The 23,152-nt window shown below is 55.1% G+C and overlaps 2 protein-coding genes and 1 long non-coding RNA gene across 17 annotated transcripts, besides 1 other annotated feature; all 3 read right to left on the bottom strand.

Moving 5' to 3' along the window:
• Nucleotides 1-2,031: 2,031 nt before the first annotated feature.
• PAEP (progestagen associated endometrial protein) lies at nucleotides 2,032-7,231 on the bottom strand. Of its 12 annotated transcripts, none has more exons than XM_011518746.3 (7): nucleotides 7,090-7,231; nucleotides 6,554-6,693; nucleotides 6,094-6,167; nucleotides 4,633-4,743; nucleotides 3,473-3,649; nucleotides 3,157-3,202; nucleotides 2,032-2,434 (listed from the first exon to the last, which is right to left on the bottom strand). In XM_011518746.3, the coding sequence occupies exons 1-6, from the start codon at nucleotides 7,183-7,185 to the stop codon at nucleotides 3,186-3,188; spliced, it is 615 nt and encodes a 204-aa protein (XP_011517048.1). In that variant the 5' UTR covers nucleotides 7,186-7,231; the 3' UTR covers nucleotides 2,032-2,434; nucleotides 3,157-3,185. The 12 variants fall into 12 exon arrangements, with proteins under 12 accessions (XP_011517048.1, XP_011517047.1, NP_001018059.1 ...); XM_011518745.3 differs by having other exon boundaries at nucleotides 3,186-3,202; NM_001018049.3 differs by having other exon boundaries at nucleotides 3,473-3,577.
• Nucleotides 2,963-3,594: an enhancer, noted in NCBI's record as "H3K4me1 hESC enhancer chr9:138457239-138457870 (GRCh37/hg19 assembly coordinates)". NCBI's record gives its function as "activates a minimal SCP1, AML or CMV promoter by ChIP-STARR-seq in naive H9 embryonic stem cells {active_cell/tissue: H9 hESC(naive)}" and the evidence as "EXISTENCE:reporter gene assay evidence [ECO:0000049][PMID:30033119]".
• Nucleotides 7,232-9,670: 2,439 nt separating the features above from the next.
• On the bottom strand, nucleotides 9,671-15,317 carry LOC107987040 (uncharacterized). The gene is made up of 3 exons (XR_001746586.1): nucleotides 15,036-15,317; nucleotides 12,708-12,788; nucleotides 9,671-9,823 (listed from the first exon to the last, which is right to left on the bottom strand). It is a non-coding gene; the product is annotated as an uncharacterized LOC107987040 (long non-coding RNA).
• On the bottom strand, nucleotides 19,018-22,861 carry OBP2A (odorant binding protein 2A). Of its 4 annotated transcripts, none has more exons than NR_120603.2 (7): nucleotides 22,735-22,861; nucleotides 22,076-22,209; nucleotides 21,739-21,809; nucleotides 21,006-21,116; nucleotides 20,178-20,328; nucleotides 19,656-19,679; nucleotides 19,018-19,150 (listed from the first exon to the last, which is right to left on the bottom strand). NR_120603.2 is itself a non-coding variant. In NM_001293189.2 (7 exons), exons 1-7 carry the CDS (start codon nucleotides 22,804-22,806, stop codon nucleotides 19,043-19,045), a joined length of 687 nt encoding a protein of 228 aa, NP_001280118.1. In that variant the 5' UTR covers nucleotides 22,807-22,861; the 3' UTR covers nucleotides 19,018-19,042. The 4 variants fall into 4 exon arrangements, 3 of the variants coding, with proteins under 3 accessions (NP_001280118.1, NP_055397.1, NP_001280122.1); NM_001293189.2 differs by having other exon boundaries at nucleotides 20,178-20,344; NM_014582.3 differs by having other exon boundaries at nucleotides 20,178-20,279.

The raw sequence follows: 23,152 nt of genomic DNA, 5'->3' as shown, positions 1-23,152 counted from the left end.
TTAACATCCTCTTAACAACACAGCGTGCATGAGGTCCAGCCACAGATTTTGAAATGAGGATGTGTGTTCCATCCCTGTTTACAGCCACTAATACTGGAAGTGATCAAGCCTCACACAGGATTGCTTCGCAGCCAGCCAAGGAAAACACTTCACTAGAAAAAACAATTACCTGAAGCAGTTTCTTTCCTCTGAAATTGTCGATTTTAGGGTTTAGTTTCATTTGTTTCTGTTTTCATTTTATGGCTTGTCGCCTTTTACTTTTTGTTTTAATTTTATATTTTAAATACATAAAATGTTAACTGGTTCAAAAGTTAAAACTGCATGAAAGTTACACTTATAAAAGGCTGGCTTCGATTCCTACCCTCTGCATGCATTTTTATCCTCAGAGATGACCATACTCATTAATTTCCATTCATTCCTCCTGTGTCTTTTTCCAAATAGGTGTGGACAGTCTTAATTCCATTCTTTCTTGTATGAAAGTCAGCAAAGACCATGTACCTGCCTCTTTGCCTCATTTGTCTCACTTAATGACACGTGCTAGAGATTTACTCTGTGTCCATTTGTAGAGAACTTAAAGGGAAAGGGTTTTAATGTTTTTAACAGACTCCAGCATCTGCAGAGAAATCATGGTATTCTTGATCCTTTAATTACACAATTATGTCCAGAGATGTCTTCCGGGGGTGAAGCTCAGGTAGACGCCTCTGTGATTCTCTCACCGTGTGACTGGGTTCCAGGGGCACCGGTACTGTTCGGGGTGTTTGCTTCGACACACAGGGTGGTGTGGTGATGGAGCCAGCAGGTGCAATGGTTGCATGTGTGGGTATTAGACTCCCTGCCAGTCCATGTGCCACCCACCAGCTGGGCAATGAGACAGTAAGGGCTTCTGCCCCATGGGCAGTCATGAGGATGAAATGGCCTATTTGAGTGTTGTTGTTGTTGTTGTTGTTTTTTTGGGTTTTTTTTTTTTTGAGATGGAGTCTCGCTCTGTCACCCAGGCTGGAGTGCAATGGTGCGATCTCGGCTCATTGCAACCTCTGCCTCCTGGGCTCAAGCGATTCTCCTGCTTCAGCCTCCAGAGTAGCTGGGATTATAGGTCGTCCGCCACCACACCCAGCTGATTTTTTTTATTTTCAATACAGATGGGGTTTCACCATGTTGGCCATCCTGGTCCCGAACCCCTGACCTCAGGTTATCTGCCTGCCTCGGCCTCCCAAAGTGCTGGGATTACAGGTGTGAGCCCCCATGCCTGGGTTAAAATGGCCTGTTTGTTATATAGACAGTGCGGACGTTCCTTACTGCCTCACAAGTCCTAGTTACTCCTGGTAGGGCCTGGTTTTGTGGAGTTTTGATGGAGATATTTTCCCAGCATTAGAAACGAGTGTGGAAGCTTTGCCCCCTCCCCATGCCTGCGACTCTTCACATTGCCTCGTTTCACCTGTTCCCGAAAGGAGCAGGAGATCCCTGGCCGCTTGCCCGGCTGCTCTCGATGCTGGGGGCTGGGCTGGGACACAGACCTCTGACTGTGTCTGTCTGTCTGCCTTGGGAAGGGTCCTTACCTACTCTGTCTCCAGTCTTCTCTGATCTGTTTTGGATGCTTATATTTGCCTTGAAATCATCTCTTTTGGATTGTAAAAAATATATTCTGGAGTCAAATAGCATAATCCCTTATGACTCTTTTAATCTATTTTCTCTTAATCTGTGGTGATTGATACTTGCTGGAATTTTTTTTCCTGGGTGTTTCTGACAGGTGAGCTAAATCCTACCATGCCCACCCCTCCCCACCTGGGGGCACAGGTGCATGAATTTGATATGTTTCTCTGATTTTGTCATTTTTGCTTTTATCTTCCTTCATTCTATTTTCTTACTTTCCTCATTCTAACGCTTTTTTTTCTAACAAGAGCTCATTACAGATTCATTGATTTTAATTATTTCTTGCTAACCCATTTCAGTATTAAAGACTATGAGTTTTCCTCTGGGCTCATCAATTCTGATATGAGTGTCCTGGTTTTATTGTTCTAGACATTTCACAAGTTTGTGAAAGTGGACCCTTTTGTTTTGTAGATAAGAAACTTGAGGTATTTTCTCCACCAGAAGCTGCCCATGGGTCTGTAGGAGCTCCGGTTCTGCCAGGCGGTGGCCTGGGCCTGCCCCGACCCCAGGCCCTCGTCCCTGAATCCCACACCCAGCAGTGGCTGCGCATCCAGACAGGACATGCTCCAAGGGTTTATTAATAACCTCTGCCAGAGACTCTGCCCCCAGGGAGCAGCCTCCCCATGGCCGTGGTGCAGGTGTGCAGCAGGAAGGGGATGGCGACACAGATGACCACGTCATCGTCTTCTGAGCTGTGGTTATTCTTTGAAAGGGCAGGAGGAAGTCCCACTGCTCTGGAGGTGTGGAAGGGTGGGAGTCTGGTCTTCCTGGAGGCGGAGGTGAGCTGTTGGGTTTACAGGTCACTTAAGTAGAGGGAGGAAGAGCAGGGTGTTTCGGGGGAGCCCTGGAAGGATGTGGTGGGCTTGAGGACACCCCCTTAAGAATGTGGCACTGAAATCCCAGCACTTTGGGAGGCTAAAGCGGGGGGATCATGAGGTCAAGAGATTGAGACCATCGTGGCCAACATGGTGAAACCCCGTTTCTATTAAAAATACAAAAATTAGCTGGGCATGGTGGCACACGCCTGTGGTTCCAGCAACTCGGGGGGTTGAGGCAGGAGAATCGCTTGAACCCAGGAGGTCGAGGTTGCAGTGAGCTGAGATTGTGCCACTGCACTCCAGCCTGGTGACAGAGCGAGACTCCATCTTAAAAAAAGAAAAAAAAAAAAGAACGTGGGACCGAGACCTGCAGGTCCCCAGCTTCTCATGCCCTTCCATGTAACCATCCTCCTTCCTCCTCCTATAGCCCCCACCATTTCCAACCAACACCCCTAACCCCAAAAGAAAGCATGAGGTCTGACTATAGGGCACAAGCCCGTGACTAATACAATGGCTGCAAGACACAGGCTGGGCTCGTGAATGGGGACGTCAGCAGCCTGGCTTTCTGGAATCACAAGACCAGACCCCAGTTCATTCCTGTAGGGTCAGCCCTGAACTGGACACAGTAGGGTCTGTCCCAGGGGCCCAGAGAGGCAGCCGCAGACAGTGGGCGAGGCTGATACATTACCCAGGAGGCAGGACCAGGCAGGAGCTCACCTAGAAACGGCACGGCTCTGTGGGAGGAGATGGGACAGTGGAGGTGTCAGCGAGAGAAGAGACAGCTGGGGACACAGCAGCCCCAGGGCTAGAGAAGGGATGAAAGGATGGTGGGAGAGGGCAGGACCCCACCTCAGGGTGGCTCTGCACCCCAGAAGGCCAGGGGAGAACAGGGGAGGGGCCAAAAAGGAGTGACCTGAGTCCTGCAGAGCCAGCAGGGGGCTCGGGCTAAGAAAGAGGCAGCTTCTCCTCCAGCTGAGGCTGGGCGTGTCCTAGGCAGAGCTCACCTTCCATCTGTTTCAAGTCCAGCAAGTACCATAGGTGCCTGGGCAGGGGCCTGAAAGCCCTGATGAATCCCTGCATGATCTCATCGTCCTCCACCAGGACTCTGGCTGTGGAAGAGGCTGGGTCAGTCCTGGGCCCCTGGGGCTTCCATGAGAGCTGGGGAGCTCCAGAGGCCTTGCCTGAGGAGGGAGGGCAGAGAAGGAGGCCCCAGTGCTCCGAGGTCTGGCAGAGTTTGGTCTGGAGTAGGTCCCTAGGGCGGTCTCCGGGGCTCTGTCCACTGCACCTCCAGGTTCCCTGACCCCAGCTCCCACTCCTTGGCCCGGCCCCCTCTGCTCCGCTCTGGGCAGCGCTGGGGTCTGCACAGCTTAGGATGGTGTCTACAGCGTCACAGGAGAGCACAGTGCCTGGCTCTCCCAGTGCCCGGCTCTCACCAAGCATGGCTGAGGCTGATCAAGAAGACACCTGTGTGACCCCAGAGGAAACACTGTGCTCAGAAACATGGGGAAGGGCTGTGCCTATGTGGCTATTTTGGTATTCCTGGCCTTCGTTTGGTTGACAGCATCATAGGTTTCAGGGCGTTTTGACTGGACGCCCAGTGAGTATTAATCTATCCACCAAGCCCAGCCCCTTGACTGGCGACCGTCCCACTGGCCCTATATCAGCTCCTTGCTTTGTCAGAGGACTCGATGAACCGCTGGAGAAAAACTCAGCCTGGCCGGGCGTGGTGGCTCACGCCTGTAATCCCAGCCCTTTGGGAGGCCAAGGCGGGTGGATCACTTGATCCAGGAGTTGGAGACCAGCCTGGCCAACATGGTGAAACCCCGTCTCTACCAAAAAATACAAAAATTAGCTGGGCATGGTGGCGTGCGCCTGTAATCCCAGCTACTCTGGAGGCTGAGGCACGAGAATCGCTTGAATCTGGGAGGCAGAAGTTGCAGTGAGCCGAGATCACGTCACTACACTCCAGCCTGAGTGACAGAATGAGACCCTTTCTCAAAAAAACAAAGCAAACAACAAACAAATAAAAAAAACCAAGAAAAAAAAAGTCAGCCCACAGGCACCGAGGTGGACAGGAAGCCAGTTGTCAGCTCCCCAGGGTTCCCAGCCACGGACGTAGCTGCTGCCTCTCACCCACGTTGAGCTCATGTGCTGTGAGACCCACCCAGGTACTGGCACATCATGCTCTGGATGGGGGTGGTGGTGTCCTGTAGGCAGAGAAACAGGAAATTGTCGTAGTCAGTATCGAGCAGCGTGGCCTCGTTCGCCACCGTATCTGGGGAAAGAAGAGAAGAACCAAAAGGAAGATGAAGCCTCCGTCTCAGCAGAGTCCTGTGCAGGTGTGTGGACATCCCACCACACTAAGTGGCTTCCTCATCCACTGACACCATGGGACGTGGCCCCTGCTGTGGACCATGATCAGGGAAGCCAGGGAGGAAAGGGGAGGAGAGGCAATGTGGAGGGCCATGGAGCCCCGGCTGAGGGGGAGAGGCCAGGTGTGCCGTGGAGAGGCAGACACGGCAGGCAGGGAGGCTGTGACCTGGAGAGACTCCAACTGAGAAGTCACGTACGGGTGAGGATGGCGGGAGATGGCACAGGAACAGGGCACAGGGGCGGGAAGAGGGAGAAGAAATGGACCTTGGAGAGTGGCTCGATTCTGGGGAGGGCAAGCAGGGTCAGAAAGGCCTGAGGCAAGTCCCAAGCATGAGAAGCAAACTGTATTTGCTGGGAAAATGTGCCCATGAGGGGATAAGAGGCCCCAGACCCTGACCACCTCTGTCTTTTTAAAAAAATAATAATTAACAAAATAGAACAAAATGTTGCAAATTGTTAGGAAGAATTCAGTGGACCAAGGACATGCTGTAAGCCCCTCTCTCTTCCCCCAGAGAGGCCTGGGAGCTCAGCCTAAGACCAGAGCTGCAGCCCCAGAGTGCGCAGGAGGCAGCCAGGCCCACGGGAACAGCAGCCACTTGCCCACCTGCCCACCTGCCCACCTGCCCACCTGCCCACCTGTTCACCTACCCACCTGCCCACCTACCAACTTGTTCACCTGGCCACCTGTTCACCCACCCACCTGTTCACCTACTCACCTGCCCACCTGTCCACCTACCCACCTGTCCACCTGTATACCTACCCACCTACCCACCTGCCCACCTGTTCACCTAACCACCTGCTCACCTGCCCACCTGTTCACCTAACCACTTACTCACCTAGCCACCTGCCCACCTACCCACCTGTTCACCTACCCTCCTGCCCACCTGTATACATATCCACCTACCCACCTACCCACCTGCCCACCTGCCCACCTGCTCGCCTGCAGCCTCCCTGGCCTTTTGTGAGGCCAGAGTGAACAGTGCAACAAAGCACCTGTCCCCTGTGCCTGGGCACAGTGCAGACCCACATCCAGTCATGTCATGCCAAGAATTAGTGCTTCCCCTGCCCTCCAGGTAAAAGATGCCTCTGGGGTCAGCATCAGGTTGACCGGAGTAAACACTCTGACTCCCTGAAGCAGAGAGAGTGGGGACAGGCCAGGCCCCACTCCCTCATGCCCCAGCAGAGCCGCCTCTGGGAGAGCGTGGCTAGCATGCCAGCACTGAGCCAGCCCTTGGGGCCTGGGGACACTCACAGTTGATCTTGAACTTCTTTGGATTCTCAGTCTTCTCTCCAAGGACCTTCTTCTCAACACAGCTGTTGTTCTCCCTGAAAGGTGGTGACAATAGGATGAGTGGCCACTTGAATTGGAGTTGCCTTCACTGTCACTCCTAAAATCAGGTCACCACGGGAACTTCCCCGGGTCCAAGGAGCACCGCAGCCCGCAGCCGCCCAGACCTTCTCCTCAGTCTGACCTGGGGCTGCACTGTGTGGTTGGCTGTTGGCCCAGAGCCTGGGGCAGGGGATCCAAGGGGACAGGGAACGTCTGGAGCCCTGGTTTTCCACCCCACCCTCATGGAAGGGCCACAGTGAAGCCCCTGGCTGTCAGAAAATGCCTGGGGCTAAGTCCAGCTCCGCCCAACCCACCCAGTCCTGGACCCCTGAGGGGGGAGACTGAGCCCCCGCCCAGCCCGTCTCAATGATGAGAAACCCACCATCTGTGCAGAACGATCTCCAGGTTGTCCTCGGGGGTGGGCAACAGTGAGGTGATGTGGACCCTCAGAGGGGCCTTCAGTGTCGCCATGAGGGAGATGTTGTTGGTCGCCATGGCCATGGAGTGCCAGGTCCCTGCCAACTGAGGGGGCCTTGGGCTGCACGGCGGTCCCACCCCACCATGGCTCTCGTTGCACCCGGTGCAGACGGGGCTGAGTCTAACTGGGATGGGTACAGTGAGCATTGGATGGTTGTCTGCTATCTACCAGATCCTGGGCTATGAAATTTCCTGTACTTAAAATGACCAGTGTGTGCTAACTCAGGAGTGTTCCAAAGTCCAAATAATGAGTCACCTAGGATGCTGGGAAACCAGAGAGGCCACCCTAAAGATGGAGAGCAGGGCTGAGGGCTTCCTGACGTCATGGCGTCCATTCTGTGCTTCCTGTAGGTTTCTGAGATCCTGGGCTTCCTGCCTGCCCGCAGCTCCCACCCGCCCCAGGCCTCCCACAGTAAAGTGCCCGCTCCCCCAGCCTCAAACCTTTGGGAGCTCCAGGTCCTGCTTGGTCTGGGGGATGTCCATGGCCGGGACACCACAGACCAGGGCCACGCCCAGGGTGAGCAGGAGGCACAGCATGGCTGCGGCTGTGGGTGGCTCTGAGCTCTGGAGCCAGAGGGATGCTGAGGCAGTGTGGGCTCAGGGGGCCTTATGTAGGAGGAGGGCAGACAAGATCCCCGCCCACAGCCTCGCCATGTGATTCCTCGAACCTGTGACTCATCCTTGGCCCCTGGGCAGCTTCCTCCACTGGGGCAATGGGAGGCTCTTCCCTGCGTCCACGCGGGAACCTCCTCTGTGTCCGGGCTGGGCAGTTCTTGGCAGGGCCTCAGGCGGGAGGGGCCTGGGTCGGGTCCAGGCTGGCAGCGGCGGGAGCACCTTCTGGGTTGGGGCTCCTGGACAATGTTGGGTCAGAGGCCAGCACTGAGGACAGCTGTGTCCAGGGCAGGGGTATGGCCTGTGGGGCAGGCAGAGGGCCTGAGAGCCCCATGGCTGCCCCAGGATGCCACAGACATCATGCCAGTGGGTGACTGACTGCACGGTCATAATCCTGACCTGTACCTTCCACTCAGACATCCCCAGGTGTGCACACCTGTGTCCCTCAAACAGCCAGCCTCTGGACAGGTGCACACTGCCTGTTAGCACTGTTTCTCTCTGACTCACAGGCAAGACTGGGTGGAAATGGGAGGCAGTGGACTTTCAGACTTTGTCCTACAGTCTATATTGGATGTACTTTTTCCCACAGGGAAGCATCACTTTGTAACTTACAATCGAGCCCGCATCTCACTCCCTGGAGAGCACTTGAGTCCTGAGGCAAGACACGGGTGTCCACTCCCACTCCCCCATCCATCAGAGCAGGTCATTCCGGCCAGAGCAGCTAGGCAAGAAATGGTAACTAAAGGCAGGCAGATTGGGAAGGGGGAGGTATACCTGTCTCTATTCGCATATAACATCATTGCCCAGGTACAAAATTGCAAGAACTCTACAAAACCCCTCCTAGAACCGAGTGAGGTCAGCAAGGTCAATCGCACAAAAATCCACCGTGTTCCCACACAGTGTCAAGGAGTAGACAGAACCCGAAACTGGAAATTCAGGATTTGTAATCACACACACAGCATGTAGGCAAAAATCTCACCAAATATGGACAGGACTTAAACTCTGAACCCAAGGAAGGGAAATCAAAGACCTAAGGTAAAGGACAGGCACAATGTGTTCATGGGCTGGAAGCTTCAACACAGCAAAGGTGTTAGCTCTCCTCAACTCAACCTAGAGATTTAATGCAATTCCTATCAAATTCTCAGCAAGATATTTTGTAGGTAGCTATAGACATGTGTGTGACACACACACACACATATATACATATATACATTTTTTTGAGGCCAAGTCTTGCTCTGTTGCCCAGGGTGGAGTGCAGTGGTACGATCTTGACTCACTGCAACCTCTGCATCCCAGGTTCAAGTAATCCTGCTGCTTCAGCCTCCAGAGTAGCTGGGATTATAGGCGCCCACCACCACACCTGGCTAATGTTTGTATTTTTAGTAGAGAGGGGTTTTCACTATTTTGGCCAAGCTGGTCTCGAACTGCTGACCTCAAGTGATCTGCTCACCTCGGCCTCCCAAAGTGCTGGAATTATAGGTGTGAGCCACCACACCCCACCATATGTAGATATATAGAGAAATTTTTTTTTCTAAAATTTACATGTCAAGGCAAAGGAGCTACAATTGCTAAAGCCATTTTGAAGAAGAATAAAGTATAAAGAGTTAGTCTACCCAAGTTTACAAGCACTATTATCAATAGTCACCAAGAGATTGTGGTATTGGCAGAGAAATGGACACATAGATCAATGGGAAATAGAGAGTCCAAACATGGACTCACACACAACAACAACAGACCTTTAACAAAGCTGCAAGAACAGTGCGTGGGGGAAGTGTTGTCGGAAAAGAGGGTCCCAGTCCAGACCCCAAGAATGGGTTCTTAGATCTCACACGGGAAAGAATTCAAGGTGACTCACAGAGCACAGTGAAAGCAAGTTTATGGGAAATGACTCTGTGCCAGAGCCGGGCAACCTCAGCGAGCAGGAGGAACGCCCGTCCTCTGTGAGTGCCTCTGTTTGTAAGAAGCTGTAATGAGCTACAGTGAAACCTGGATCATGCAGATGCACTCGCTAAAGATAGGGGCTCCTAGTGTGATCAATGACCATTTGCCCTTCAGCCTCAGCCTACTCGTTGACGTTATTTGTGAGCAAAGATAACCCCCTGCACTCCCAGGTCATCGGTACATTCTCCAGGCTTGGTGGGAGATGCCTCGTATGGGCATAAATGTTCTGCAGTTATAATTGGTGGTCAGCTTAGTATGCGGGTATTTTCAGACCATAAGCTCGCGCCTGTAATCCCAGCTACTCGGGAAGCTGAGGCACGAGAATCGCTTGAATCTGGGAGGTGGAGGTTGCAGTGAGCCGAGATCACGCCACTGCACTCCAGCCTGAGTGACAGAATGAGACCCTGTCTCAAAAAAAACAAAGCAAACAAACAAATAAAAAAAAAAACCAAGAAAGAAAAAACCAGCCCACAGGCACTGAGGTGGACAGGAAGCCAGTTGTCAGCTCCCCAGGGTTCCCAGCCATGGAAGTAGCTGCTGCCTCTCACCCACGTTGAGCTCATGTGCTGTGAGACCCACCCAGGTACTGGCACATCATGCTCTGGATGGGGGTGGTGGTGTCCTGTAGGCAGAGAAACAGGAAATTGTCGTAGTCAGTATCGAGCAGCATAGCCTCGTTATATAACCTTATAGGTGCCTTGTGAGTGTCTAGTTATTCACGTTAAGATGGAGTCACTCTGGTCATGTTTCATTAAACCAGAGGCCTGGCAAGCGGGAGTCCCTCTAAAAGAAGGACAGTCTTTGCAACAAATGGTGCTGGAGCAATTCATCACGTGCAATCGATCCCATGCAAACGAAGAACCTCCATCTAAAACTCACACCTGACATATGCATTAACTCATAGTTTAAAAGTAAAACATAAAACTATACAACTTTTAGAAGAAAGCGTGAGAGAAAATCTTCAGGACGTAGGGCTAGGTAAAGAATTCTTAGACTTGACACCAAATGCAAGATCCACAAAAGAAAAAAACTGGTAAATCATACTGCATCAAAATCTGAAACTCTTGCTCCAGAAAGACCTTGTTAAGAGGATGAACGGGGCCGGGCGTGATGGGTCACACCTGTAATCCCAGCACTCTGGGAGTCCGAGGTGGGCGGATCACCTGAGGTCAGGAGTTCGAGACCACCTATGGCCAACATGGTGAAACACCATCTCTACTAAAAATACAAAATTAGCCAGGCCTGGTGGCACATGCCTGTAATCCCAGCTACTCAGGAGGCTGAGGCAGGAGAGTCACTTGAACCCAGGAGGCAGAGGTTGTAGTGAGCCAAGATCACGCCACTGCACTCCAGCCTGGGTGACAGAGTGAGACTCCGTCTCAAAAAACAAAGAGAGAGAGAGAGAGAAAAAAAAAAAGAGGATGAAGAGGCAAGCTACAAACTTGGAGAAAACATTTGAAAGTTTCATATCCAACAAAGGACTGGTGTCTGGAAGATATAGAGAACTTTGAAAATTCAACAGCAAAAATAAAATCCACCTAGAAAATGGGCAAAAACCATGAAGGAACATCTCCCCAGAGAAGATCTATGGGTGGCAAATAAGCACCTAAAAAGATGCTCAATGTCATTGACTATCAAGGAGCACCAATTAAGGCCACAGTGAGCTATCACAGCCCAGCTATTAGGACAGCTACAATGAAAAGTAGGGACCTATTAGGACAGCTACAATGAAAAGTAGGGACCTATTAGGACAGCTACAATGAAAAGTAGGGACCTATTAGGACAGCTACAATGAAAAGTAGGGACCAAACCAAATATTAGTGGGGATGGAGACAAACTGAATCTCTCAAAATGTTGAGAAATGCATACTTTGAGTGGCTCTAAAATGGTTCAGCCATGCTGGAAATTGGAAGTTGCTTTTGTTTTTTATTTAAAAAATTTTAAGCTTAAATAATAGAGACTGGGTCTCACTATGTTGGCCAGACTGGTCTTGAACTCCTGGGCTCAAGAGATCCTCCCACCTTGGCCTCCTAAAGTGCTGAGATTACAGGTGTGAGCCACCACGCCCAGCTGGAAGTTTCTTTTAAAACTAAGCATATGCTGGTCCAGGAGTGGTGGCTCACGCCTGTAATCCCAACTTTGGGAGGCCAGAGGGGGATGGATCACCTGAGGTCAGGAGTTCGAGACCAGTCTGGCCAACATGGTAAAACCCCATCTCTACTAAAAATACAAAAAATTAGCTGAGTGTGGTGGTGTGCACCTGTAGTCCCAGCTACTCAGGAGGCTGAGGCAGGAGAATCGCTTGAACCTGGGAGGTGGAGGCTTCAGTGAGCCGAGATTGCGCCACTGCACTCCAGCCTGGGTGACAGAGCAAGACTCCGTGTAAAAAAACAACAAAACAACACAAAAATAATAAGCATATGCTTACTATACAGCCTGGCAGTTTTACTCCTGGGCATTTATCCCGAGAAATGGGATAAATGGACACAGAAAACCCGGTACACAATTGTCCACAGCAGCTTTGCCTGTAATAGCTAATAACTGGAAAACTCCATCCGTGAATGAATGGTTAGACAGACGAGTACATCTGCCTTATGGGAGACTCAGCCATAAAACGAGGTGAACTGCTGATACCCACAGCAGCAGGAGGGCGTTCAAGGGAACTACGCTGAGTGAAAAAGGCCAACCCCAAAAGGTCGCATACTCTATGACTTTGTTTATACAATATTCTCGAAATGACATTATAGAAATTGAAAGCTGAGGCCGGGCGCGGTGGCTCACGCCTGTAATCCCAGCACTTTCGGAGGCCAAGGCGGGCGGATCACGAGGTCAGGAGATTGAGACCATCCTGGCTAACACGGTGAAACCCCGTCTCTACTAAAAAGTAGAAAAAATTAGCCGGGCGTGGTGGCAGGCGCCTGTAGTCCCAGCTACTCGGGAGGCTGAGGCAGGAGAATGGCGTGAACCCCGGAAGGCGGAGCTTGCAGTGAGTCAAGATCACGCCACTGCATTCCAGCCCGGGAGACAGAGCCAGACTCAGTCTCAAAAAAAAAGAAAGAAAAAGAAAAAAGAAATGGAAAGCTTATTCGTGGTAGCCAAGGGCTGGGCCTGGGGAATGGGTGTGTCTGTAAAGGGGTAGAACAAGAGATCTCTGTGGGGATGTACCATTCTATATGTTGATTGCCGCAGTGGTTACACACATCTACACATGTAAAAAATTGCATAGAACCACACACACACACACACACACACACACACACACAAATGAATAGAAAACTGGTGAAATACGAATAAGACCTGGTTCTGCACGATGTATGGTTATGTAAATCTTCACACAGTAGTTATGTGAGGTCTGACTGTAGCTATGCACAGCAGGACCCCTCTGTACTATTTTTGCAGCTTCCCATGAATCTATAGTTATTTCAAAACAAAAGCTAAAAAATAACAACACAACTCAAACTTCCCCTCCTGGCTAACATACAATAGCAGGTATCGTATTTGCTCACCTTAAACAACTAGAAATCCAGGAGATTTCGGAAGCAGTGCTTTCTGGATATTTGACAACAGGCCGCGAAGGATCATGATCCCTGAAAGACACAACACGAGTGCTGAGCTCTGTGACCCCAGCAAGGCCTGGCTCAGGGCAAACGAACCCAAACAGATCCCAGGGCGCCACCCCACACACGCTGAGGAGAAGAGTGTTAGAGTGTGGGGAGGCGGAGGGACTCGAATTTGCTGGGCAAAGCTTCGGAGAGAAAGGGCTACACGGAGCGCTCAGGAGACACACAGAGGGGCAGGAAGGAAACCTCGGAAATGGTCAATGGAGTGACTCTTAGAACTCACACAGCCGAGAAGAAAGCCTTCAGAATACACGAGGCAGCGGGCAGAATTCTCAAAAAGAGACTGAATTGGTAGCGGGGTTAGCAAGGGCTGTTCTGAACCCATTCGAATACAATTAAAAGCAAGTATTGGGAAGATCCAACACGTTAAAAATAATTTAACTGTAGCCACACGGAGTCTAACATTATTTAACGAAAAACAAAATGGAGTGTGTTATTTCTTGCTGCATAAGAAATTGTCTCCAAACAGAGCAGCTTCAAACAATGATTTCTGAGGGTCAGGAGGTGGGGAGTGGCCCAGCTGGGTGGTTCTGGCTCAGGGTTTGCAATGAGGCTGTGGTCATGTTCTGGGCTGGGACTTTGGGCTCTGGAGAATGTCTTGGAACTGGTGGGCCACAATGGCTGGTGGGAACTTCAGGCTCCTGCCACATGAGCCTCTTCCTGGGGCTGCTTGTGACATGGTTCCCCACCATAACCAGTATGAGGACCAGTGGGGCTGATGTCACACTCTGTGTCTGACTCATGCGCCATCCCTTCCTCCTTGTCATATCTATTAGAAGTGGGTCACCAGGTCCAGCCCACACTCAATGGAAGGCATCACACAACGGAAGCCATCCTGGAGGCCAGCTGCCACGTCAAGAAACCAACAACGTGAAATCCACAAAGTAAATATGACATCCAGTTAACAATTACCAGGCAGGCAATGAAGCAAGAATATATGAGACATAACCAGGAGAAAAATCGAGTGATAGAAACAGATCCAGAAATGACAGTGATGGTGGACTTAGCAGATCAGGGTGTTAAAGACCCATTAGCAATATCTCTATGTGCTCAAGAGGGTACTGAAAGGCAAGAGCTCAAGGAGAAGCAGAGTGCAAGGCATGGAAAAGACCCAGGAAGGAAAACGGTGCTTCCACTGTGGAAAACAATTGGCAGCTTCTTAGAAAGTTAAACACATCATTATCCCATGACCCAGAAACTTTGCTTGAATTGAAAACAGGAATTCAAACAAATATTTGTGTGTGTGCATATTTGTGGCTGCACTGTTCAGAAGAACCAAAAGATGTAAACAACTCAAGTGTCTATCAAACAATGAGTGGACGAAAAGCATGGGGTTGGCTGGGCGAGGTGGCTCATGCCTATAATCCCAGCACTTTGGGAGGCTGAGGCGGGTGGATCACCTGAGGTCAGGAGTTTGAGACCAGTCTGGCCAACATAGTGAAACCCCATCTCTACTAAAAATACAAAAATTAGCCTGGCATCATGTTGGTGTGCACCTGTAATCCCAGCTACTAGGGAGGCTGAGGCACAAGAATTGCTTGAGCCTGGAAGGTGGAGGTTGCAGTGAGCCAAGATTTTGCCACTGCACTCCAGCCTGGGTGGCAGAGCAAGACTCCATCTCAAAAGAAAAACAAAAAAAGCATAGTGTTTATTCATATGGTAGAATATTATTCAGCTATAAAAAGGAACAGGGTACTGGTCCATGTTACAGCACAGAAGAACCTTGAAAACATGCTAAGTGAAAGGAGCCAGTCACAAAACGTCACATGTTGTATGATTCCATTGATAGGAAAGGTCCAGAATAGGTAAATCCTTAGAGACAGAAAGTGGGGGTTGAATGCTGCTGGAGACGGAGCTTCCTTTGGGGGCGACGGGAACGTTTTGGAACTAGGCAGGGGCCATGGATACGCACAAGGGTGTGTGGCCTCATTGCTACACAATTGTACACTTCAAAACAGTTATTTGACACACTGTGAATTTCACCTCAGTGAAGTTTTAAGAAATTAAAGGGGAATAAAGAACCAGATGGAAATCCTAGAGATGGAAAATATGGAATTTGACGTGATGAGTACACCCTGGGTTCACAGCAGATGGAGCAAGGGAAGCGGGGTGGGCTTGGGGCCCAGTAGCAGACCCATCCACAAGGAAGCCACAAGAAAAGGGCCAAAAGGGACGGGGGTCAGGGACCCATGAGACAACCTCAAAGGGTCTGACCTACACAGAGTCCCAGCAGCGAAGAGAGAAAGGGCTCTCTTTTTCTCCGACGGCCCCTCTCTCCTCTCTCAGGCTGGCCTGGTGCCCTTCCTTTGCCAGATTTCCCACGCAGCTGTGAGCTTAAGCTTGAGGTCCCCTGTTCCCCCGGAGCACCCTGGCAAGGTGGTGTCCCAGGTCTGCAAATTCTTCCACTGCTGAAGCTCCTCCTGCCTGGATCTGCCCTTGCCCCGGCCTGGTCCACTTCGTGACTGTGCAACCGCGAGCAAAATCCTTAATCCCAAGGCTCTGTTTCTGCATAGAAATGAGGACAGTGCCCACGCCACTGGGTTCTTCCAGGAGTAGGCGATATAGGCATGAAAAGCTGGTGTCACAGTGCCTAGCACAGAGCTCAGCCGATGGGAGCAGCTTGTACGCTTGGACTCACCTGGATATCCCTGTTGGGACCAGGACCCTCGGGAGTGAGGTTGTCTGGGAGAGGCCCGGAAGCTGCCATGTTGCTGAAATAACATTGGAAGAGGTCATTTTCAGCACCGAGTGAGTGAGGCTGAGCTCAGAGACCAGATGGGAGAGAGGGTTGGGGTGGAAAAGACGCAGAGGGAGCTGGGAAGGGAGCTGGGCTGGGGGCACAAGCTGAGGAGCATCCGGAATGCCACCTTTTTGAGATGGTTTGTGACAAACGTGAAGGGAGGCAGTGGGCGGGTCCACGTCTCCGCAGGGATTGGCATGTTTCCTGCCCAACACTTTATGTGCGAGTTTCCTAAAAGCTGGTGGGTGGGCGGGAACCATCCAGGAACAGGGCTGAGGGGCTCGGGGGTGGGCCAGGAAAAGGGGGGCGGGGTCAGGAGGCTGCTGGGGGGTGGGCAGAGGCGTGGGGGCGGGGCCAGGAGGCAGAGTGGGAGGCAGAGGCGTGGGGGCGGGTCCGGGAGGCGGAGTGGGAGGCAGAGGCATGGGGGCGGGTCCGGGAGGCGGAGTGGGAGGCAGAGGCGTGGGGTGGGTGTGGTGACAGTGTCTGGTTTGGTCTCCTTAGTGTCAGCATGAGGGGCCAGAGATGCTTCAGGGGAGGCAGGAGAACCTGTCCCAAGATGGCCCTGCGTCCATCAGCAGAAGAGGAGCCTGGCCAGGGGCTGCCGGGGGTGCCCGCCCTGTGAGGCCTGAAGGACCAGGTCAAGCCTTTATGTTGGGGGGTTGACATAGGAGGATGGCCGGGCAGGAGTGGACAGAGCTTAGGCGCTGACCCGTCAAGGGTGGGCGACCTGCCCTTGCCGGAGTGCTGCCTCGTCTGATGACTCAGTCCTGGCTGCTGGGGGGTGACCAGCCCGCAAGTGACCAGCACTGCCCCTTCCCAAGACAATCAGGAGGTCCTGAACACAAACAGCTCAGCCCCAGCCTCTGGGCCAGCTCCCACCTCGTTCCTGGCCCCCCCGAGGATCCACACCACTTGACTTCATTCATCTCCTGTGTCCAGGGTCGGGGGAGGGGGGCCCAGGGCCTCAGGGCTGTGGGTGCCACCTGGGACTGGCAGGCCCCAGAGCCCTTGTGTGGGGGAAGGGGGAGGATGCCGACCAGGGATTGGTGAGGAAAGGGCAGAGGGGAGCTCTGTCTTCAGGCCTAGGTGGACCAGAGCATGACCAGCCCTGACGGGGAAGGACGTGGGGTCACAGTGGGTGGGGAGGGGCAGGTGCTCTGGGGCAGGATGGAGTAGTTCCGGAGCTGGACGTATCACTACAGGGAGCCGGAGGTGCCTGGACCACCAGCCTCGACCCTGGGCACATATTTGGGGCCAGGTCATTTTCGTGTCCGGGATGAGGACACAAAGCTAAGGGAAGCCTCAGCTGGGCCCTTTTACTGTCGATGCTGGGCCCGGGCCTGACCCTTTCCAGGGGTTTACATTTCGTCAAAAAGCAAACCATGAGCTCTTGAAAGTCTGACATTACTGGCAAACACGTGGTTTTAATGTAGCCCTTCATCGCAAAGTGAAAAATTCCAAGTGGAATTCTGACACACGGGAGAAGCTTGAAGGAGATCAGCTTCTTCAAAACCCACAGCCCGGCAGGTGAGGAAAGGTGTCTCGGTGTCTCGGGCAGGGTGGGTTGGGCAGGACCTCATCCCAGAGATACTCCACCCACCTCCCTAAGCTGCCCAGGCAGCCAGTGGTACCCCCTTCTCTGTCGGGCGGAAGTCAGCAAAGACACGAGAGGTGGGCTCTGGCCGAGGTCCCCCTGGGGCTCCCAACAGCATTGAGACTCTAAGTCTGTCCAGGCGCCCAACCTCGGAAACGTGCATCCCTCCCTGCCCTGCCCTGCCCAAGGCCCTCACCTCGTGGGGGCGGTGGGAACCAGCCTGGCCTCTGGGCTTGCAGCACCAGGATCAGGCTCAGCTCTCCGGTCAGCAGGGGTGGCCGCATGGCCGGGGACCCCACTTCTGCTCTGCTCCTCCGGCCTCTCCACCACCCATTTATCCCCCATCCTGAGCTGCCCCAGGAAAGTCCCACCTCCATTGTCCCTGCAGCAGAGGGACTTGCACGATTGCACGTGGTAGAAGGAGAGATCCAGTCACTACTGTGGGAGCAAAATGAACGCAGGCCTTCAGTTTCATTCAGGAGCCACCAGGGCCCACAGGCCTCACTTCCTCCTGGGCTGGCAGAATGCAGGGAGGGAGGCAGTGTCACCCGGCCGGCAGATGATCAGACGAACAGCTGGGGCAGGGATGCGGGAAACCCACAGCCACAGCGCCAGGCAGGAACCGATCCCAGATGCAGCGCCAGGCCCTCCTCGTGGGCAGGAACCAACCCCAGCTGCAGTGCCAGGCCCTCCTCATGGGCAGGAACCGACTTCCCAGCTTCTCCACATAGGTAAGAACCACTTCCCAGCTTCTCACGTGCTGACTCCTGTTCCCGCCAGCATCACCCCTGCACCCACACTCGCCGCTCTGCAGTCCGATCTCCGTCTTTCCCAGTGAGTCTCCCCACTGCTTACATGCACCACAAATCCTCTTCCATCAGGTAAAGACTTTTACCTATTTCTTATATTTTTACACAGACCTCCTAACCCTTCTGGAATCTGCATAGTAGCATGGGGAAAGGGAGATACCTCACCACTCACCCGTCTTTGTAGGATGGGGTCTGCCCTGCCCTCCACGTGTGGCCCGTGGACAACCAGGCTGGCTCCGCCTCAGCTCACCTCGGCCCTGCTATCTTGGCCCATTTCCGGGCCATCCTGTGGCCTCTGCCAAGACTCACGTCCAGGCAGGAGATGGAGAGGCGAGGATGCTAGTCTGGGCGGCAGGCAGGCAGTGGTCGCTTGGTGCACAGCCAGCGGCCCTGGGGAGAGGCGGTTGCTTTGCAGGCTCATCCCCCAGGAGGCCTGTCCCACGTGGGTTTGTGGCTCCTGGGGCGTGTTTATCACCCTGGTATGGTGGCCTATCCTCCCTCACTGTGGCCGGCCTCCCCACATACCCGCATCCCTGCAGCCCCAGTGTCTGGACAGATCCTGGCTCTGGACAAACCATAAGAAGGCCAGGGTGGGCCAAGGATCTCAGAGAACAGGGCCAGCTCTGCCTTGCTCCAGGAGTGATGACGGAGGTGCCAGTGCCCCTCTCTCCAGTGCTGCCACTGAGCCCAGGCTGCTAAAGTGGGGCCGCTCGGAGGATCCCACTGAGACCCCCGGGGCGGGAGCCCTGTGGTGGACCCACTGCTGCAGCTCTGACGCCGTGTCCCCACTCCCGCCCTCCCAGTGGCTTCCCAAGTGCTCCTGCCCAGAGCCCTGCCCGTCCCAAGCTGAGCCTGAGATCCGAGGGCGGCTCTTCCGGAGGCCCCTCCAGGACATCACGCAGCCCCACAGCCTGTTGGACATCGTGCCTCTTGTGGTTTGGCCCTTGCTAGGTCCAACATCTCCCCAGCTTCCCTTGTGGCTCCCCCTCCCAGCAGGCCTCCCAGGGAGCCGGTGCGAGCCCCTCCGTCCCCACAGATAGGCCTGCCCAGAGCTGGGGGAGAAGCTCTTTATTTGGAGTCAGGTGGGTGGGAGCAGGGAAGGGTCATGGCTGGAGGGTAGGTCCAGGTGGTCCGGGCTCTGTGTCTGGTGGTAGGGTGGGCTCTGGAGGTGCAGACCCGGGGGCTGCTGTGCTGGGAAGAGGAGCAGAGGTCAGGGAGGCTGCAGGGTAGGGCAGAGGCCAGGCCCAGAGCTCCCTCCCCAGGCTCTGCAGCTTCCACATCGGCCACTGCTGGGCAGCCTCGGGGCTCCAGAGCAGCCTCAGCTCCTCCAATGACTGGGCAGGCCTCTGAGCATCCTTGGTGAGTGGGTGGGGGGGAGTAGACCGAGTGGGGACAGGTGCAGGGGGCGATGGGCCGAGCTGACACCTGAGGGAGCCGGAGGGAGGCCTCGCTGTGGAAAGGCCGAGGAGGACCCTCACTCGGGCTGGCAGGTGCAGGAATGGTAAAACAAAGGACTTCCCGAATGTCCCAGGAATTTTGGGTGGGCAGACTCTGAGGTGCCAACCTCGTGCCTGACCCTGGGGGGGTCTCCCTGGCTGTGTGGGATGGGAAGGGCCAGAGCAGATGTACCCTCGAACCCCGGGAACCCAGGACTCTGGGCTTGTCCAGTGCCCTCCTAAAGGCTCACTCACCCTAGTGTTCGAGAACGCAGCTTCCTGCAGAGACCAAGAAAAACCCAGGGATTAGAAGGCGCCCTAGACCAGGGCCCAGACCCCATCGCAGCCCAGGGCTCAGAGCCCCAGACCCCATCGCAGCCCAGAGCGCGGAGCCCCAGACCCCATCGCAGCCCAGAGCGCGGAGCCCCAGACCCCATCGCAGCCCAGAGCGCGGAGCCCCAGACCCCATCGCAGCCCAGAGCGCGGAGCCCCAGACCCCATCGCAGCCCAGAGCGCGGAGCCCCAGACCCCATCGCAGCCCAGAGCGCGGAGCCCCAGACCCCATCGCAGCCCAGAGCGCGGAGCCCCAGACCGCATCGCAGCCCAGAGTGCAGACCCTCCAACGACGAGGATGCTAAGCAGGGCCCAGAGCCCCTGCGAGGAGACTCGGGGCACACGGGGAATGCGGGGGACATGGGAGGACATGGGGGTCATGGGACACTGGAGATCACACAGAGACACAGGGGAACACGGGGTACTGGGCACAGCCGTCCTCACCCGTCTGCAGGGGCATGAAAATGTCCTCCTCCGAGAGTCCCTTGTGCTGCACCAATTTCTTAAATTCTTCCAGGGCCTCCAGGTTGGTATTAGGATTCCTACCTGCAGGTGAGGTGGCCAGGTGAGCCAAGGTGGGGACAGCGGCACGGCCCTGCAGGGAGCAGATGCTAAAAGGAGACGACCACGGCCCAGCATCAGGACGGGGGAGAGGCCCGAGAGTGGATCAGAGCTCAGGGGTGGGGCTGGGGACAGAAGAGATGGCAACTGTCCAGCACCAGGCAAGGGGGAGAGGAGGCCTGAGAATGGACAAGAGCTCAGGGGTGGGACTGGGGACAGAGGAGACGGCCACCGCCCAGGTGAGAGGTCCCCAGGAAAGGGGACAGTGGCAGGGTCCAAGCCACTCAGCAACCCCAGGGGGACCTGGGCAGCTCCCAAAGCCACTCTGCAGGGTCATAACCCTCACCTGGAGGGACCTTGTGTCCCAGAGGCACTGGCTGCCCTGCCGCCCTGGAGAGTCCCTGCCCCATGAAGAGCTCTGTTAAGATGCTACCTCCCCCTTAAGGTGAGGCCCCTACACCTGAGACCCCACAAGCGGCCCTTGGCAGGTTCATGTCACCGAGGGCCGTGTCTGTCCCTGCCTGGCCCACCCCACTCCCACTTCAGGAACTTGGACCAGCCATCCAGGGCAGCGCTTGGTGCCTAGCACACGAAGGCCGGCGCAGGGGGCTTCCTTTTCCCCCCGTGCCAGGGCGTGATGATGGTGGTTCCACTGGCTTCTGGAGGCAGAGACCATGGGGCAGGACATGCAGGCCCCAGCGGGCCCCTCACCCACAAGCTTTCCCATGTAGCGCAGGCCCCCACGGCGCTGGTCTTTGCAGTAAAAGACGTAGTCGTCCGTCCCGGGCAGCTCCTGCAGGTATATGAGCTTCCTGCCCCCATCTGTAGATGACAGAGAAGATGGGTCTTCAGTGCCCTCATTCCCGGAGAGAGCACTCAGGACCACACGAAGAAACACTCAGGAATGTTTCAGTGGTCACCCAGGTGCCCTGGACAGCCTGAGCCAGGCCTGGCTGCTCCGCACAGCATGGACCCGGACACGGAGGCAGGAGCCTCCTCTCGGAAGGTCCCAATGCAAGTAATGGAGCCACAAGGCCAGAGCACGTCCAGGACTAGAGTCCGGCCTTCCCAGCTCCAGCAGCTGCTCCTGCCCCACTTCCCTGTCCCTAACCCTCGGATTCCTGATCCCAAACCCTCAGCCTTGGCTTCCCATCCCTAACCCTCGGCCTCCTGGTCCCTAACACTCGGATTCCTCAATGTGTCAATGGCTAGGGCCTCCCAGAGGGCAGGCTTGATCTGGTCCATCTCTACTGTGGACAAGCCTGTCACACCTGGTGTCTGATGTCAGGGCCACCAGCCCCCCAGGAAGGAGAGGCCAGCCCCTCCTTGGAGGTGGGCAGGGCTGGGACCCTGGCAGAAGTGTGGCCTGGGCACTCTCCACCTGCAGTGGGGCTGGTGCATCCGGGGTTGGGCATGGGGAGTGGGGGGTCGGGGAGGGGCTCACAGGCGCTGAATTTGCCAGGCTCCTCCGTCTTCCGCATCAGGATTTTCTTCTGGATGCACCGATCCTCCCTCCTGGAAAACAGGAGACACTCGGGCAGCGGCTCCCAGGACACACCTGGCCCATCCTCAGCTCACCTGGTGCATGGCCCTGACCCGGCAACCTGAAAATTCCACTGCCCCCCCACCCCACCGAGCTTCAGGATGTCCTGGCTGTTTCCCTCCAAGGCAGGGGGTGACTCTTCCCAACACCCGAAATGTGGATGGGGCAATGGGCACCAGGTGGGTCTGGGGCGGGGAGCGAAAGTGGCCTGAGGGGCCCTGCAGTGGGCAACACTCACATGAAGGTGAACGTGGCTTCCAAGTTCCCACCGCCCAGGGCTGTCACCTTCACTGGGGACACCTTCCTGGGCCTCCTGTCCTCCGGAAAGTCCTTATCGACCACCATGGCCTTCACGTACCAGGTCCCTGTGATCTGGAGCAGGCCAAGGCCGTGAGCCCACCATGGGTGGCCCAGATTCTACTCTGACCCTGGCACTCAGGCCTGCAGCTATAACCAGACACCCATGGTGCCCGGCTGCCACCCCTAAAGGCAGGCTGGGTTCCTGCACCTTAGTTAGAGCTCAGCTGGAGTGAGTTAGAGCCAGCCCCCTGCTCAGGGCTCCCAGCCCCCAGTGGAAGGAGGGCATGTCTGCACCCCATGGACCCCCGGGCCCCAGCACCAGGTGAGCCCTCCCTCCACAGGGCCCAACCCTGCGAGACCTTCGGGCTTCAGGCGTCAGTGCAGCAGGAACCCCTGAGCCGAGCCTGCTCCGGCCCTGGGCCTCGGGGGGCCGTGTCTGCTGGAGGAACAATAGGACCCCTCCACCACCACCCCAGGCTGGGAGCACGGGGTCAGAAGCCAGCCTTCAGTGACACCTCCTAAAGCAGGGCCCCTGGCACTGCCCCCTGCCCAGGAGTCCACCTGGCTCCTCCATCCGCCCACGCCAACCCAGCTCACATCCTCCTCCTCCAGGGTGAAGGACAGGGCAGCGGCCAGGCCGAGCGTGACACCCAGGAACAGGGTCTTCATCTCCAGAGCTCTGTGCTGCCGACCTCGGCAGGTCACTGGGCGTCTGAACAAGGCTGTGCTGGCTCCTCTCGAGATGTTCTTTATAGCCCCCTGGCCAGTGTCCTGGGAGCACGTGGCACGGTGCACCCCTCCCCATGGTGGCAACCAGTCCTGCATCCGGGAGGGGGAGTGTCCTCATTGCTGGCATCTGGTGAACAGCAATTCAGTGCCAGCCAGAGAAGAAAAGACACACGATGCTGTCCAGGGTTTGCATCCAAATGCGCCCACTTGGATGAGCCCGGAGGACTCCAGAGGACAGGGCAGGGTAGTGCACGTCTGCACCCCGAGCCACAGAGGGAGGGCCCAC

Source organism: Homo sapiens, chromosome 9 (assembly GCF_000001405.40).
Source record: "Homo sapiens chromosome 9, GRCh38.p14 Primary Assembly".
NCBI lineage: Eukaryota > Metazoa > Chordata > Mammalia > Primates > Hominidae > Homo > Homo sapiens.
Note: the sequence above shows the minus strand (reverse complement) of the source record. Positions and strands in the feature narration are given on the sequence as shown.

What these genes read in the sequence shown, in the direction of transcription:
- OBP2A (NM_001293189.2), bottom strand. Translation starts at nt 22,806, where the DNA reads ATGAAGACCCTGTTCCTGGGTGTCACGCTCGGCCTGGCCGCTGCCCTG. An exon ending in GAAGCCACGTTCACCTTCAT is followed by an intron (nt 21,810 to 22,075) that starts GTGAGTGTTGCC and finishes CCTGTTTTCCAG; the next exon opens with GAGGGAGGATCGGTGCATCC. An exon ending in GCCTGGCAAATTCAGCGCCT is followed by an intron (nt 21,117 to 21,738) that starts GTGAGCCCCTCC and finishes TGTCATCTACAG; the next exon opens with ATGGGGGCAGGAAGCTCATA.
- PAEP (XM_011518746.3), bottom strand. Translation starts at nt 7,185, where the DNA reads ATGCTGTGCCTCCTGCTCACCCTGGGCGTGGCCCTGGTCTGTGGTGTC. An exon ending in AGGACCTGGAGCTCCCAAAG is followed by an intron (nt 6,694 to 7,089) that starts GTTTGAGGCTGG and finishes AGGCCCCCTCAG; the next exon opens with TTGGCAGGGACCTGGCACTC. An exon ending in GAGATCGTTCTGCACAGATG is followed by an intron (nt 6,168 to 6,553) that starts GTGGGTTTCTCA and finishes ACCACCTTTCAG; the next exon opens with GGAGAACAACAGCTGTGTTG.